The 16071-nt window shown below is 36.7% G+C and overlaps 1 protein-coding gene across 17 annotated transcripts in view; it reads right to left on the minus strand.

Moving 5' to 3' along the window:
- Positions 1-16071, minus strand: part of DMD (dystrophin) — a 2220167-nt gene that overhangs the window by 1411065 nt on the left and 793031 nt on the right. For all 17 annotated transcript variants that reach the window (XM_006724469.4, NM_000109.4, XM_011545467.2 and 14 more), the window contains 1 exon segment: positions 14873-15048. In XM_006724469.4, coding sequence (XP_006724532.1) covers positions 14873-15048 — 176 coding nt within the window.

The following is a 16071-nucleotide window of genomic DNA, read 5'->3' on the forward strand; positions in this document are numbered from 1 at the left end:
CTGAGTTATTTGGTATTGATATTCATCTTGGCACCCATAGAATCGTTGATTGCAGTGAAGAGAATAAAACTGCTGTAAAATATTGCTTCTCTGCACAAAGTAAAACTTACCTAAAATATTTTGACGTCTGGTAGGTAGAAATGATGTTAAAATAATCTTCCTACCTTAATTTGGTATTAAATCTTAATCATTTCAAAATTCATTGGTAATATTTATTTCTAAAGTGTGACATGATTGAACAGATGTCACATTTATAAGTTTTGTTTAAATATCTTTGAGAGAAACAACCTTAAAAATTAAAAGGTAAGAAACCCCCACAAATTCTAAAATGTCAGATACTGCTACATTAGAGGAATTAGTTATAAAGCCAAGGAGTGTGAAAACACGTGGGCAAAAACTGCATGACCCAGAGGATGGGAAATAAAATGCTGCTAAGCCACAGATGCCTAAAGCCTATTTTTCATTTTCAATAAATTGAAAGTCCCTTTGAAACACACTTCTGTGCAAGAAAATCACCTTAACACAGGTTAATAGAAATATTCTCTTAAATGATAGATGAAATCCTGTCAGAGTAATAAATCTATGATCATACAATATAATATACTCAAGTTGAAAATCCTGAGTCATATATTTTAAAATCAAATGTAAAGTTTATTTAAAATGATGAAACCCAAAAGCTGCCTATGTCCTTATGATAAATAAATGTGGGTCACTAGAGGGCGCACATTCCCTTTCAGAGCTTGTCTTCAATTTGGCTTCTTTCGTTTTCTTATCTGCATAACGAAAATATGGTGACAAATGAAATTTTCATGGAAGTTTTACTTACACAGAAATATAAAATGTCCAAAGATATAGATAAAATAGTGTACAAATAATATGTAAGTAAGACACTCTCAGATGCACTGTTAAAATGCCTTCAGCCATTTTGAGGTACACACAAAAGTACCTTGAAGCCATAATACATAGAATCCCTTGAGAAAATATGTCCACAGTTTGGAGAGTCATGCTTAGTTCAAATAATTTAGTAAAATTTTCTGGATTATGTAGCAAGTAGTTTTCCTTCCCAAGTTCATTGATTTTAACTAATTTTTGAATGTTTAGTTAAATATGTGGACACTCGTACTCTAAAAATCTGCTTAAAATTATACTCCTAAATCACCTAAAGTTTTTTAAAATGCCAAACTTTCATTCAAATTTAAAGAACAGAAAAGAGACATATATATCATTTTAAGCATCTTAATCAGGTCACAGGCTTTCAAAAAGAAAACTTAATCGCTCAAGAAACCTTGTATGTTATCTGTAATAGCTTTTATTTTTGCAGATTGATCATGAATAGAAAAGTTGAAGATCTTCATTTAGTTTCAATACACAGTGAAGCACTGAGTCAAGACTCAAGAACAGGTCTGTCTGAATCCAAAGATTTCTACAACACTACATTTTTCTTTTGTTCCAAATAAACGAGAAACCCATCTTAAAAAAAAAATAAGGATAAGTCAATATAGAATTACTGTTCATTGCTACACAGTACAGTAATTTAGTGGTTTTGACTACGCTATCTTGGATTATATGAGAATTTGATTGAAGTCTCTAATATCAGGATATTAATTCTGAAATTTTTCATTAAAATATGATCCTTAGTTGTATACTTTGTACCCTAATGGCAATATAAAATAATTTATTTCCCAATTTATTATTACCTTGGAATTTCCCTTAATTTCCTAAAATCCTCAACTTTCTAATCTGATGATACAATTTCTCACATCAGAGAAAATATTAAGCATAGATGAAAAAAGTTACTACTTATTATATAATGTGGTTAAGACCATGGTGAGCTCCAAAAGTCTTGCACTTGGAAAAAAAAGTTCAATTATATGGAAATTCCACTTATTTTTGATGCTGAAAAAGACATCTAAATTTTAAAGAAATCTTTTCAGTGAAAAAGGTCTCTGTATTTAAAGATAATCAAGTGTTGCCATGGGACACTAGAGTCAATGATACTTCAGAATGTAGAACAGACATAATCTAGAATAAGTGCAGCTTCCATAGACTTTGGCAAATTCTTAAGGAGTCCCAGTCAAGCATTTTATTTCAGCTAAATAATTTGATGAAATCACCTTTAACTTATTACAACATAGCAAGGCGAGGAATTTCCGAAGGCAACACCCTAAGCTAGGCTGTCTGGGTTCAAATCCTAGCTGCGATGCTTCCTGTAAACTATGTGACCATGAGCAAGTCACTTGAAATTTCTATGACACATTGTTATCATTGGCAAAGAGTGACAATAATAAAACTTACTTCGTAATGCTATTTTAAGTGTGAAATACATTAATATGTAGCAAATACTTGGTAGAAGCCATATACATATTAGCTATTGTTATTAATATCTTCCATGATCCTTTTTTAACTGGCTTTAAGCCCTATGCCATTTCTCACTTTCTCACGTGTGAGAGTAGTCATATTTGTTTTAGTGTCTTCTTAATGACTGATAAAGTAAAAGCCACAATTGGAATAACAAGAATAAAAACTGCAAACACAGCTATAACAAAGACAATGAAACATATAAACAAAAATCAACAGCAAAATAGTCTCATTTTACCCATTAGTGCCGGAATCCCCAAAGTATGTTCTATGGGACAAATATGGTCTGCCATCTAATTTGGTAAATAAAATTTTACTGGAACTCAGTCATGCTCATTCATTTATACATTGTTTATGGCTGCTTTCTAGCTATAGCAGCAGAGTTGAGTAGTTTTAAAATAAATTTTATGATACACAAAACCTAAAATATTTACTCTCTGGCCCTTTAGAGAAAACTTTTCTTTCCCCCTTCCCAGTCTATGAAACCAAGGTAAGATGGCCTCTCTCTCCCAACTCTCAAGTGAGATCAAAATGATATGGTTCACAGTAGCCATATCATATTTCTCTCTCTCAAAAATATGCAATGGCTCCCCATGACCAGAAGGTTTAAGTCTACATGCCTTAATCTTTTATTGAATACCTTTAGTTATTATGAACTCAACCTACCTTTTCAACCTCATTCCTTACTTCTAAACTTCCTTTACTTCATACTTCTGCTGGAGGCAAACAAGAATACTTAATCCCATGTAAGTTTTGTTCGCATACAGGCTTTCCCCTGCAATGAATTGTCACTTTCCTCATCTTGAGCCCAATGCTTCCCTACTCTTTAATTATCCAGTCAGATGCTAATTTTCCCATAAGTCTTCCATGCCTCTCAAGCAGGAAGTGAACTTTTCTTCCTTAAAACTTTTCTAACATTTTATTAGTACTTCTTCATGACAGTTTATGCTGGGTGCAAGCTTCCTGAGGGAAAGCTTAGATTTACAGTTAAAGTAACTGGAGTGTTTTACATACCATAGCAATCCATTAGATATTAGTTGAGTGAATAGGAAAATTAGCATGAAAACTAATGTTGCTGTCTCTTCTTTCTTGAAATGATGTGGACTCATAATGACTACAGAAGTGTTCAAAGAAACCCACCATGCATTGGATGATGACTTGGACCCTGTGGGAGGCAATTTAAACTTTAAACTCTCTCAGTGTGAAAGGTCCTTGAGTTTAAGAGAAGTCAACATGCTTGTGGGTCTTTCAAGTTTAAATAACTTCCAACCCGGGTTCCAAAAGGATCTAGTGCAATGTGGAAAGCCATTTCAATCTGACGTGTACTTAATGCCCCACTGCCAGCATCATGACCTGTTTCAATCCATCTACTGTGTTAGTAAGCATCACTATGAACTTTAGTCAAAACAGAAGTAATACTCATTGCTTAACAAAGCCGGTTTTTAGTCAGCTAGCACTTACATAACAAAATACCATAGACTGGGTGGCTTAACCAACAGCCACTTATTTCTCGCAGTTCTATAGGCTACAATTCCAAAATTAAGGTACCAGCAGGATCAGTTCCTGGTGACAGCCTTCTTCCTGGCTTGTAGACAGCCTCTGGTATAGTTTGGATATTCGTCCCTTCCCAAATCTTATGCTGAATTGTAAACTCCAGTGCTGGAAATGGGGCCTGGTGGCAGGTGTTTGGATCATGGGAGCGGATCCCTCACGGCTTAGTGCTGTCTTTGCGATAGTGAGTTCTCCTGAGAGAACTCACTTACAAATGTGTGCCACCTCCCCCTGCACTGTCTCACTCTCCTTGTCCCATTCTTCCATGTGATGTGACTGTTTCCCCTTTGCCTTCCATCATGATTGAAAGCTTCCTGAGACCTCCCCAGAAGCAGACGCCACCATGCTTCCTCTACAGCTTGCAGAACCGTGAGCCAGTTAAATCAATTTTCATGTAAGTCACTCAGTTGCAGGTATTTCTTTATAACAGTGCAAGAACAGCCTAAGACAACCTCCTTCTTGCTGTGTCCTCCCAAGGCAGGGAGAAAGAGCCAGCAAGCTCTTTGTTGTGTCTTCTTATAAGGGCCCTAATCTCCTCAGAAGAGCCCTATCTTCATGACCTCATCTAAATCAAATTATCTTCCAAAGTCTCCATTTCCAAATTCCATCACATTGGAGATTAGAGCTTCAATATAAGAATTTAGGGAGGACACAATTCAGGCCATCCCAGCCTGGCATCATTTTTATATCTCTGTGGTAGCATAATATGTGTTCATTTGTAAAGAGACAGGTTTCTGACCAGGGAAGACTTTACTAAGAATACTCTCAGAAGATGTCAGAATAAGAATAATATATAAATGTGGTCATGGGAAGATACCATCCCTGAATTAATAATTGGAAACTCAACTTTCTCCTGGGGAAAGGAGACATTGTTTTTTAAATGTAAACGTTCTTCAAGACAAACACATGTAATATAATTTCCACAGTGTGAGGGCAAACAGGGAAGGCCATATACATTCCATTTCAGGGGTGACGAAATAGATTCTTGGGGAGATTAAGTGGCTTAAGTCACATAGTTTATGAGCAGAAGATGCACGGCCAGAACCCATCTGTGCAGTAATATGCCCATCTGCTCTCAGATCTATTCCCCACATTTCTTCTGTACTTTCTGTATTAGAGGGATATACATTTCCCAACACCACTTGCCCTCCTAATTGTTCATTTGGAGGCAATGGCAGAATATTGGAAGGTGGGAGGAAGAGAAAAGCCAAGGTCTTTTTTCTTCTCCAACTACCTTGGGTGGCATTTCTAGAGCAGATGTATCTCTGCTGTGGCTTCTGTTTTCTCTGGATAGCTAGCTCCCTCTTCAACAATCCAATTTTCTGCCTGGCAGTCCTAACTTTAGTTTAATCTCTGTTAGAAAGCCCCAGCTTCTGAGCTCTGGTAATATCACTTTTTCTGTATTGTTTCTCCAGCTCTAGGGATATTAGCAGCTTCCTTACGTTACTAGTGCTTTGAGTTGCCTCTCCATCCCCTGCGCTGCGTCTCAGTTTTCTACTACCTGCTTAGCCAATTCCTTATATTACGTTTCCTCTCTTTAAATCACAGTGATTTTGTTTTTCTGACAAGACTCGCACAAAACCTGGAAAATCCCTCATCAACATCCAATAAATATTTATTCAATACCTACTATGAGCTGACTTCTGCTTTATGCATTATAGGTGTACAGATGACAAGAAATGATTTCTTCCCTCAAGGCGTTTACTGGAGATACAGGCATGCAAAAATAAAGTCATTACCATACAATTTGGCAAGTGTTTTAATAGAAGTGTTAAAAAGGCTGAGAAGTGGCCTGGCACTGTGGCTCATGCCTCTAATCCCAGTACTTTGGGAGGCCTTAGCAGTCGGATCATGAGGTCAACAGATCAAGCCCATCCTAGCCAACACGGTGAAACCCCATCTCTACTAAAAATACAAAAATTAGCTGGGCATGGTGGCCCTTGCCTGTAGTGCCAGCTACTTGGGAGGCTGAGGCAGGACAATCGCTTGAACCCACGGGGCAGAGGATGCAGTAAGCTGAGATCGCGCCACTGCACTCCAGACTGGCAACAGAGTGAGACTCCGTCTCCAAAAAAAAAAAAAAAAAAAAAAAACACACAAATGGCTGAGAACTGCCTCTGCAAGGTTAGATAACCAGAAAGACAAGGTGGTTAGTAGCACGGTGGCAGGTAACATGGGAATGGGAAAAAGAAAGGTATCTAAAGAGAATCTTAGGCAGAGAAAACAGTAGGTACAAAGAAACAGAAGCTTAAGAAAGCACAGAGCATTTGGAGATCAAAGAGTGGTTAATTTAAGCTAAAGCATAGGGCAGTGCGGAACAAAGTTCAGACTTTAGCAGACAGTGAACTGTTTGCTATTAGTCTGTAAGAAGAAAAGAGTTTTCACCAGAGTATAAATCAACTGAGTCACTGAACAAACGATTTGATCTTATTTTGCTTTTAATTGCCGAACTTTCTTGACAAAGGAAGGAGTACATTGATTTATATTCTGGCTCAAGCTTCTTATCTCAATTGTGGACTGGTACTAAAAAGTTTGCAGATTATTTGGAGTAGCACTGGTATTTTTTTTAAAAAAGGAGCAGAGGAGAAGGGAGTGAAGCTGGAGAGGTAGGCAGCTAAAGATCACAAAAGAATTTCTACGCCATGCATTTCAAGATTTATGGGCAGGGGAATAATCTAATTAAAACTGCATTTTAAGATATCCCTCGGGAGGCTGTAAAAAGCATGGATAAGAGAGGTGAGATCAGAGGCAGAGAAATCAGTTAAAAATTTCATACAGAAAAATTTCAGTTTTAACTAGAGTGAAGGCAGCAAGGATGTAGAAAAAAATAACAAACTAAAGAGAATTTAACAGGTACATTTGGAGGGATTTAGTGATGTGGCAGATATCAAGACCACTGTGAATGGCTGCACAGGTTGCTCACTGCACAAGTTCAGGATGTACCATTCTTAGAGACTATGATGTGAATGACCCTCTCTAGAGTTATACGATCTAAACTCCAAAACTATATTTTAGATTCCAGTCAGAAATCCAGGAATACATAGCCTATAAGCATTTGAATTATACAGGGATGAACATCAGGAGAGAGGGAGAGGTAGAAATATCAATTTGTGAATCAAAAATATAGGTGATGATAAAGATTATAAATGATATTTCCCCAAAAAATAAAGCATCATAAGAAGAAAATAAAATCACAATTTGAGTCTTATGTAGACTGACATTAAAGGGCAGGAATAGAAGACAGGGAAGATATACTCTGAAAGAAAACAGGAGAGAACAATGTCCCAGAAACTGCAGGAGAGAAAAATTTCAAGAAGGGACTAATCATTTCTGTCAAGCACAAGACAAAGGTCAAAAAGGGAAAAGAACTGAAGAGTGACCTTTGGAGCTGGCAATTAAGGAGCTCTCTGGCGACCTTGCTGAGAGCAGTTTCAGTGCTCGATGTAGAGTATGAGAGGGTAAAGGAAAGAATCAGGAGTCCGTAAGGGAATACAGATAGTTCAGGTCTTCTGATTAAAAACTGACTTTTATTTGCACTCAACTATGCTTCTCCTTTTAGATGAATAAGTATGAGTACCATTTTCTTCACTCAAAAAACGAACAAAATTATATGTAACAGCTCTGGGAATGTGATCCTGTCTTCTTTCGTGTTGATATTCTTTTACGCCTTGCATTCTGGAAGAATACATTTTCACATAGCTACTGTAGCCAGACATCCAAAGATATAGTATCTCATAGGACCAGTTCTCAATATAGTGCATTTCTATTCACAGCTTGAATTGAGCATCTACTACACAGAAGACATCACACAGGTAACGAACAAGAAATGGATCCTGGCCCAGGGAAGCTTTAATTCTAGTGGATGAAACAAGCATATGGATAGATCATTTCATCATAAAGCAGTAAGGTGTCACAAGATGCAACAGTAGCATCCCTTAACCTGCCCAGGAATAGATGGCCCCTGTCAGGCCTCTGAGCCCAAGCTAAGCCATCCTTTCCCCTATGACCTGCACCTTTACGTCCAGATGGCCTGAAGCAACTGAAGAATCACAAAAGAAGTGAAAATGCCCGGTTGCTGCCTTAACTGATGACATTCCACCATTGTGATTTGTTTTTGCCCCACCTTAACCGAGCGATTAACCTTGTGAAATTCCTTCTCCTGGCTCAAAACCTCCCCCACTGAGCACCTTGTGACCCCCGCCCCTGCCCACAAGAGAAAAATCCCCTTTGACTGTAATTTTCCACTACCCACCCAAATCCTATAAAACGGCCCCACCCCTATCTCCCTTCCGTGACTCTCTTTTCAGACTCAGCCTGCCTGCACCCAGGTGAAATAGACAGCCTTGTTGCTCACACAAAGCCTGTTTGGTGGTCTCTTCACACGGACATACGTGAAAGCCCCTTTATGGGGGCTGTCATAAGGAAAGAGAATCAGGGGTCAGACTGTAAATGACAAGACACTCCAGTGAACTGATTTCCAAAGTGTGGGCCCTAAATCAGTAGCAGCAGAATCACGTGGGACCTTGTTAGAAATTAAAATTCTTGGGCACCACTCCACGCCTATTAGAATTAGAAACTCTGGTGACTCCGACGCATGCTGAAGCATGAGAACCACTGTTGTCATGCCAGTGCGAGGGTTCTCAAATTTTATGGTGTATAAGTATCACCGAGAGTGCTTGTAAAATATTTTTGGGCCCACCAGCAGTGTTTCTGATTCAGCAGGTTTGGGAAGGGCCCTCCAAATCTGCATTTCAAAGAAGGTCCCAGGTGATGATACTGTTTCATGCACTGCAGTTTGAATATTACTGTTCTAAGTATTCTCTGATCCCATAGCATTCTCTAGAATTCACATTACTATATTCTTCAAAACACTGCTATTGATTTATTCTTGATGCATAAGACAACATAATCTCAAGAACATTTAATAGATGGTTATCTTTTTGAGGATGTGAAGATGGTATGCAAGATTTCTATTTCTTTTTTTTTTTTTTTTAACAAAAAATAGTGTCTAAAGCGAAATTTGAATTTATGACCAAGGTCATTTTCCTTTAATACATAAAAAGTAACATGACATTGCAACTATAACACTAGAATGGATTTAGGAGAGTCAGCACCAGTCCTTATTTTGCAACTGAAAGCAAGTTATTTAACCTTTCTGGACCTCAATTAACCTGTAAACATGCATAAGTCTAGTCTCCTTAGGAAAAAAAGAAGCAAATCATCTAAAATGTTTTGTTTCTATGGGCTGTGCCAATAGGCAAAAGTGTCATTACTGAGTTTAACATCCCAGATATTTTAGGATCAATTTATCATATAGAACATTAAAAAAAAAAAGTTCACGGACACATTAATTATCTAATTAGGTCCTTCAAATAACTTGGTATATTTTGCCATACAACTTTCAGATTTTAGTTTAGAAACTGAAGTTATAATCAATATCTAAAACAAAAATGTTTTAGGCATGAGTCTCACAAAACTGCAGAGCGGTCTTATCTGTTATCTATTTTCTTTCCAGAGATGTGACACAATTTAACTTCATCTGGACAGCAGCCATAAAAAGAAAATCAAACAAACAAAAAACAGAAACAAACTGAAAAGTAGAATATATAATAATAATTCAGGTATGTAGATCAGTCAATTTATCCTCCTATGTAGTTAGGATGCAGGAAATAGCCGAGAAAGCAAGCTTACATTCTGTCTGCTTACCCTGGAGGGAAAAAACAGACCAGGTGAACTGAGGCATTTCAAAATGCCTCTACATTATCCTTGAGGACAAAGATATTCATTTATGAACGCTTTACTTGGGGGAAATTATCTTTATTAAGATGGCATTCACTTAAAAACAATTTGCCATTCATTCTGCCTGGTTGCTACAAAAGTATAAATTAAAGCTTTTTTTAAAAATCCCTTAAAATAACTGCTACATGATTAGGAAGTAATCTCCTGGATAAATACCAATTAACTAGATAATAGATCTAGTTTTACCCTAGGCTGAGTTCCTTACTCTGATAATTACCTACGTGTACAATAATATCACTGAATTGCAGGAATAATTTGCTATTAGAAATAATTATCTTGTGACCCAAGATCATCAGACACTTTTGCAAATCTCAGTGTAAAGAGAAAAATTTATGCAATAAATACAACATATGTAGAAACTGTATAATTATTTAGGAATCGACTAAATGTACCTTAGATAGTTAAGAAACTATGTGGTAGAAAGCTGAATTTTAAATCCCTTAATTGTTTTGGGTAAATAAGGATACCCTAATGGGTAAAATTGGAATTATTAAAGATCATCAGGATGGTCACGTTTATTATTAAGAACAATTCCAGGAAGAGCTAGGTAGAATTTTTAAATGATATTGAAATGTCAAATTTTAGTTACTGCAATTATTTGAATTATATACCATTCACTCTCTCAACAAACATTTATTGGTTACTTATTGTATCCACGGTATTTGCTACAATGGAATCTAAGTAAAACATAAAGAAGTGTAATAATAGGCTTCCTTTGTTTTGACGGGCAATGAGAAATTTTATGTGAGTGGCATGAAGGCATACAACAAAACGAATGTAATGTAATTTACTGGCTGAAGTGGAATAATGATTATTGGGAAGGTAGACATAAAATTAGTGGAGAATGAGAATAATACTGAATGCCATAGGAAGCACTTGGGTTTTATTTTGGAGGTATCTGGATTTATGGGAATTCGCATGTCTGGAGAGACATCAAAAAGCATCATTTTAGATATATTCATTTTAGTAAATCAATTAGAAAGGAGGGCAGTTCTCTCCACAGTGAGGTATATGGCTCAGGTTATGGACTTGGCAATTCGAATGAACATGAAATGACGGAAATGATGGCACTTGCCCAATAATACAATCTAATTATAATAAATAAGGAAAAGAAAGTAGAAGAAAAATTCACAGAACTAGAGATGTCAGGTGGTAAATTCTGTTTTGAAGAGGAAAACAGGAAGGTAATTTTACATTTCTTAGGTTTGAGATAATGTTTATTATGGAATTTTTCCCTGTCGATAATAGATGACTACCATCTCCATCACTACCTCCACCACCATCATCATCATCTCTACTATCGTTACCTCTCCCACCATCACTTCTACTCCTCCTACCCACCACAATCTTCCTCCATCTTCATCATCTCTATGGTCTCCACCACCAAATAAGAATCGAACCACTGCATTTATTGAATGTTTACCACCTTAAAGGCAATGTATTAAATGCTTATTTAATCCTCATGACAGTTGTTTTATAAAGTGAGAATACTGGAATCTGAGGCACAGATAACAAGTAATTTGCCTGCGCTCATAAGCTAGTAATTAAAACAGGCAGGTTTCACAAATACCACAGGTTCTTACCTATAAGTGAGAGATAAACACTGAGTACACATGGACACAAAGAAGGGAATAATAGACACTGGGGCCTATTTGAGAGTGGAAGGTGGGAGGCAGGTGAGGATGGGAAAACTACCTATCAGATATTATGCTGATTACCTGAGAGACAAAATTATCTGTACACCAAACAGCCACAACACGCAATTTACCCATGTAACAAACCTACACGTTAACCCCTTGAACCTAAACTAAAAGTTGGGAAAAAAAAAAAGGGCAGCATTCAAACCTCAGTAATTCTGATTCCAAAAGCAATGATTTTTTCCATATTTGCTACTTCTCTAGACACACAGGCAATGAATTATAACTAAAATATGTGTGCAATGTATAAGTAGGTATGGTTAATTGGAAGGAACAAATGTTTGCATTTGATGAACATTGAGGCAGTTGCTGGATGCACAAGCGGAAATAGCTTTAGAGATATAAAGCTTTAATTTGAGGGAGAGTGTCACATCTGGAGCTACATGATTTGGGAGTCAGTCACTTAGAGCCAGGCTCGAATCAATGAGAGGAGATAATCCAGATAAAGAAGTCAAAAGGCCGGGCATGGTGGCTCATGCCTGTAATCCCAGCACTTTGGGAGGCTGAAGTGGGTGGATCACGAGGTCAGGAGCTCAAGACCAGCCTGGCCAAGATGGTGAAACCCTGTCTCTACTAAAAAATACAAAAAAAATTAGCCGGATGTGGTGGAGGGTGCCTGTAATTCCAGCTACTCGGGAGGTTGAGGCAGAGAATTGCTTGAAACCAGGAGGCGGAGGTTGCAGTAAGCTGAGATCCCGCCACTGCACTCCAGCCTGGGTGACAGAGCAAGACACTGTCTCAAAATAAAAGAAGTCAGAAAGGCAAAGAGATGGATCTGTGTGATACTCCCATAGGAATAAGGCAGAAGGAATAAAACAAGTCAGGTAAAGAGTCGTGGGTGACAACTGGTAGTGTGTCACAGAAGCTGGAAGAGGACATCATTTAAATAAAACACTATTCAACAGATGGTCAAGACCTCAATATTCAGTGAAATATTAGTGGGCTTCAGATGATACAAAAACGGGGCACTAGCTAATATAAAGCTTATGGTTATATTTGCATGATGCCTCTTTAATCATTACAATACTTTAACAAGATTCCACCCTGTAGACAATTATCAATTAATGAATTTGTTCCTAAATGTTTGCCTTTTTGCTATCTTCGTTCAGTCTAAATTTATCAATCAAGTGTCGTATATAGCGTGTTCAGATAATTTTGCCGTCCAAATCAGGACACACTTGAGAGTGAAAGTTGATGCTATATATAATTATGCTGGGACAACAGGTGTAACTGGGATGGCTTCAGGTAAATCAATAGGATTACCTTAGTCATATATCTATGAAAAAGACATTTTACTATACAGCCCAGGTTTTGTAGCTACCTCAGTTCAAATCCTGTCTGAGGTACACTGTAGCTGTGTATAATTTTATAAAGTAATTATAGCCATACCTATTTTGGGAGGTTACTGGGAAAAATACATGCGATGCCAATAAAGCACTGAATCTACTACTGAGCACATAATAAATCCTCAATTTATGTTAGCTTTTATTTGAAGAATCTTTCTGTATGTGCCCAATGGGACTTCTCATTTAGGCACATACAAAAATTGCCGAAAACTTATGATACAAACAAATTTTGGAGAGAAGGTATTTCACCACTAGCCACTCTTTCCTGAAAACAAAAAGAAGTCAGAACACACTTTTTTTTTTTTTCCAACACAATCCATTCTCCAAACAGGAGCCAATAATAAGCTTTTGAAGACAGAGATTGACATGAATCAGCTTGCTCTGTTAATTTCTGTATTAGGCAAGTCCTGAAGACATTAAAAGTGTTAGGCAACTAGGTGTCCCTATTACTCTGTTTGGAGAACTGTTGGAGGGTTGTTGGAATGTTGCAAAGTATCCATAAATCTGTATGTCCACTAAGCGTTGTCTATAAACACATGTTTAATGTGACAACAAACAAGTTAATGTACATCTTACTAGGAATAATAAAAGAAATTCATCAAAAGCTTCACGGATTTGTGCCATTATGCTTTTCACTCCATCAATTTTTGTTAGATTTTCTATTACCATCGTGAGTAGAGTGCTTGGAAGTTCCTGAAAGTTGTTGCCACAAAAAGAATGCTAATATTCATAGAGTTTGAGAGCCATTTGACTGGAGCAAGGGTCGCCAAACTTTTTCTGTGATAGGATAGGTAATAAATATTTTAGGCTTTGTGGACTATACAGTTTGTGTTACAACTATTCAAACTCTGCCGTTGTAATGCGAAAGTAATCATAAGTGATAAATAAATGAGTTTGGCTGTGTTCCACTAAAACATTATTTATAACACTGAAATTTGAATTTTATGTAATTTTGACATGTCATAAAATATTATTTTTCTTTTGATTATTTTCAACCATTTGAAAACGTAAAAACACTTCTTGGCTGATGAGCCATACCAAACTGGCAGCATGCTAAATTTGGTTAGCAGGTCTTAGTTTGGTGACCCCTGGACTAGTGGATTTGCTTAGCCAAGCTGACACAACCAGGGAGAAAAGGCCCAGTGATTTACTTTGGAATTATCAAAGTAGGTCATAAGTCATTAGTTAATAGAGAAGTACTAAACATCCCAAATAATATATTTGAATAACTTCTCTAGATTTATTTTTTTTCTTAGAACATCTGACATGGTATTTTTAGATGTGTGTTCTTTTCAAACTTCTCTACCCTGGTATACACAAATTCTAATGTCAAGTGTTCCATGAGTTTCTAAACATATGCTGCTTAAAAACATACGGCAGATTTTAACGTTCTTTCTTAATCTTAGAATTACAATAACTGGAATGAAAGGGAAATTGTACCTTTTAAAATAATTTTTATGCCAGCTTTGCACTCATAAAATTTTATTGCCATCATTTTAATATATCCACTGATTTACATAATACCTAACTTATCTAAAATGCATAATTCTGAATAGTCACAAAAAGATCAGTTAAAAATTCTAACACCTTCAAGATAAGACTTTATAAATATCAAAGAACAGGAAATGTGTTCTGTAATTACTCCTGATTTAGGATGCGCAGACTGAGACATCATGTTCTCGTAAACTACCAGGATGGATCCCATCTATTATAGGTGTACTTCTTCATGAAAATGCACTTTCCGTTACTGGAAAAAAAAGACATTTAATGCAAAACTAGGGACTCAACAAGCAGGCCCTTTATAAGGAAGAAAAAAAAAAAAGAAAGAAAGAAACTTTTAGGATTAAAATGCTACCACAGTAGTTTATCACCTATAGTTTCTATAGTTTCTTCTTTCACCCCAGAAAACACCATTTCCATTAAGCATTTACTTTCTGTTGCGATAGTGATTTCTTGTGAAAGTTTTAAAATGTACTTCATAATTTTTCTCACTACATTAACTGACATTACAGGTACCCGAGGATTCTGGAAATATTGCTGAAGTGAAAACACCACCAACAAAACTGCTGTAAATGAGTTTTCTCCACTTCATTTGCAGATAAAAGCTTAAGATGCTCTCACCTTTTCCTAATTTCAGAATCCACAGTAATCTGCCTCTTCTTTTGGGGAGGTGGTGGTGGAAGTTCCTCTTGAGCATGCTTTACCAGGATCTGTTCCCTTGTGGTCACCGTAGTTACTGTTTCCATTACAGTTGTCTGTGTTAGTGATGGCTGAGTGGTGGTGACAGCCTGTGAAATCTGTGAGAAGTATTGAAACAGAGGTCAGACATTGCTAGAAAGACTTCAGTAAAGACTGCTTGGAGTGGCAAAGGAAAATAATGAGAAACTGTTCTTGCTTGTTGGTAGATTGACCTTCAGATCAAAATAGCACCATATTGAAGCCAAATAAAATTGTTTTATCTGACTTAAGTTTGGTTCACTGAAATAGCAAGGGAAAGTAATCTCAACATCGAAAGTCAATTTAGCGCCCCTTCAATATATTGGTCAAACTGTAGGAAATAAGGGGTGGGGGCAGAGGAGAAAAATGTAGAGTATAATTCATTCTGATAGTTAATTCTACATGCTGTTTAAAATGTTTACATTAATATGAATGTTACTAACGTACATCAGTACCAATTCCATTGCCTAGAACATTTTAAATGCTTATTAATAGTTTGTAGAATGCATTTTTGGTTATCATACACATTGATTATTTTATGTTATACATTTTTAAATAAAATTATTTCAACTTGGTAATGAACGACTCTTTAATCAAATAAGTGAAACAGCTTTTAAAATTACAATAAAAGGTTAACATAAAGTATGTATTAGTCCATATATATCTTTATGTTGAATGTTATTCAAATGCTAAAAAACACACTACTCTTGTTTGATTTAAATTAGTGATTATGTTCAAATATTTGAGTTCCCATATTCATCACTGGAGACACTTCTTGGTTTAGAATCTCAATTACCTCCTGTTCATACTTTTGGCAGCGGGCCGGGGGCAACAGTTCATCCATCTTTGGAATAATACATTTTGTGAGCCAAGACATGAGAGGCCATCACCTCAATACATGGGCATTACGAGATAGACAAGTCATATAATGGTGAGACAATCATTCCTTATCATATTCTCCGTCTCACAGAGCTCCTCTCATGACGATTGTAACGTTACCTCTTGGGATGGTAATCATTATCCTTCTGGCAATCCAACTTATATGCAAGGTCTGTTTCCAAGGAAGTCACAAGAGGCCTGCATTGAAACTGCCTCTGGTTACA

Source organism: Homo sapiens, chromosome X (genome assembly GCF_000001405.40).
Source record: "Homo sapiens chromosome X, GRCh38.p14 Primary Assembly".
NCBI classification, from domain to species: domain Eukaryota; kingdom Metazoa; phylum Chordata; class Mammalia; order Primates; family Hominidae; genus Homo; species Homo sapiens.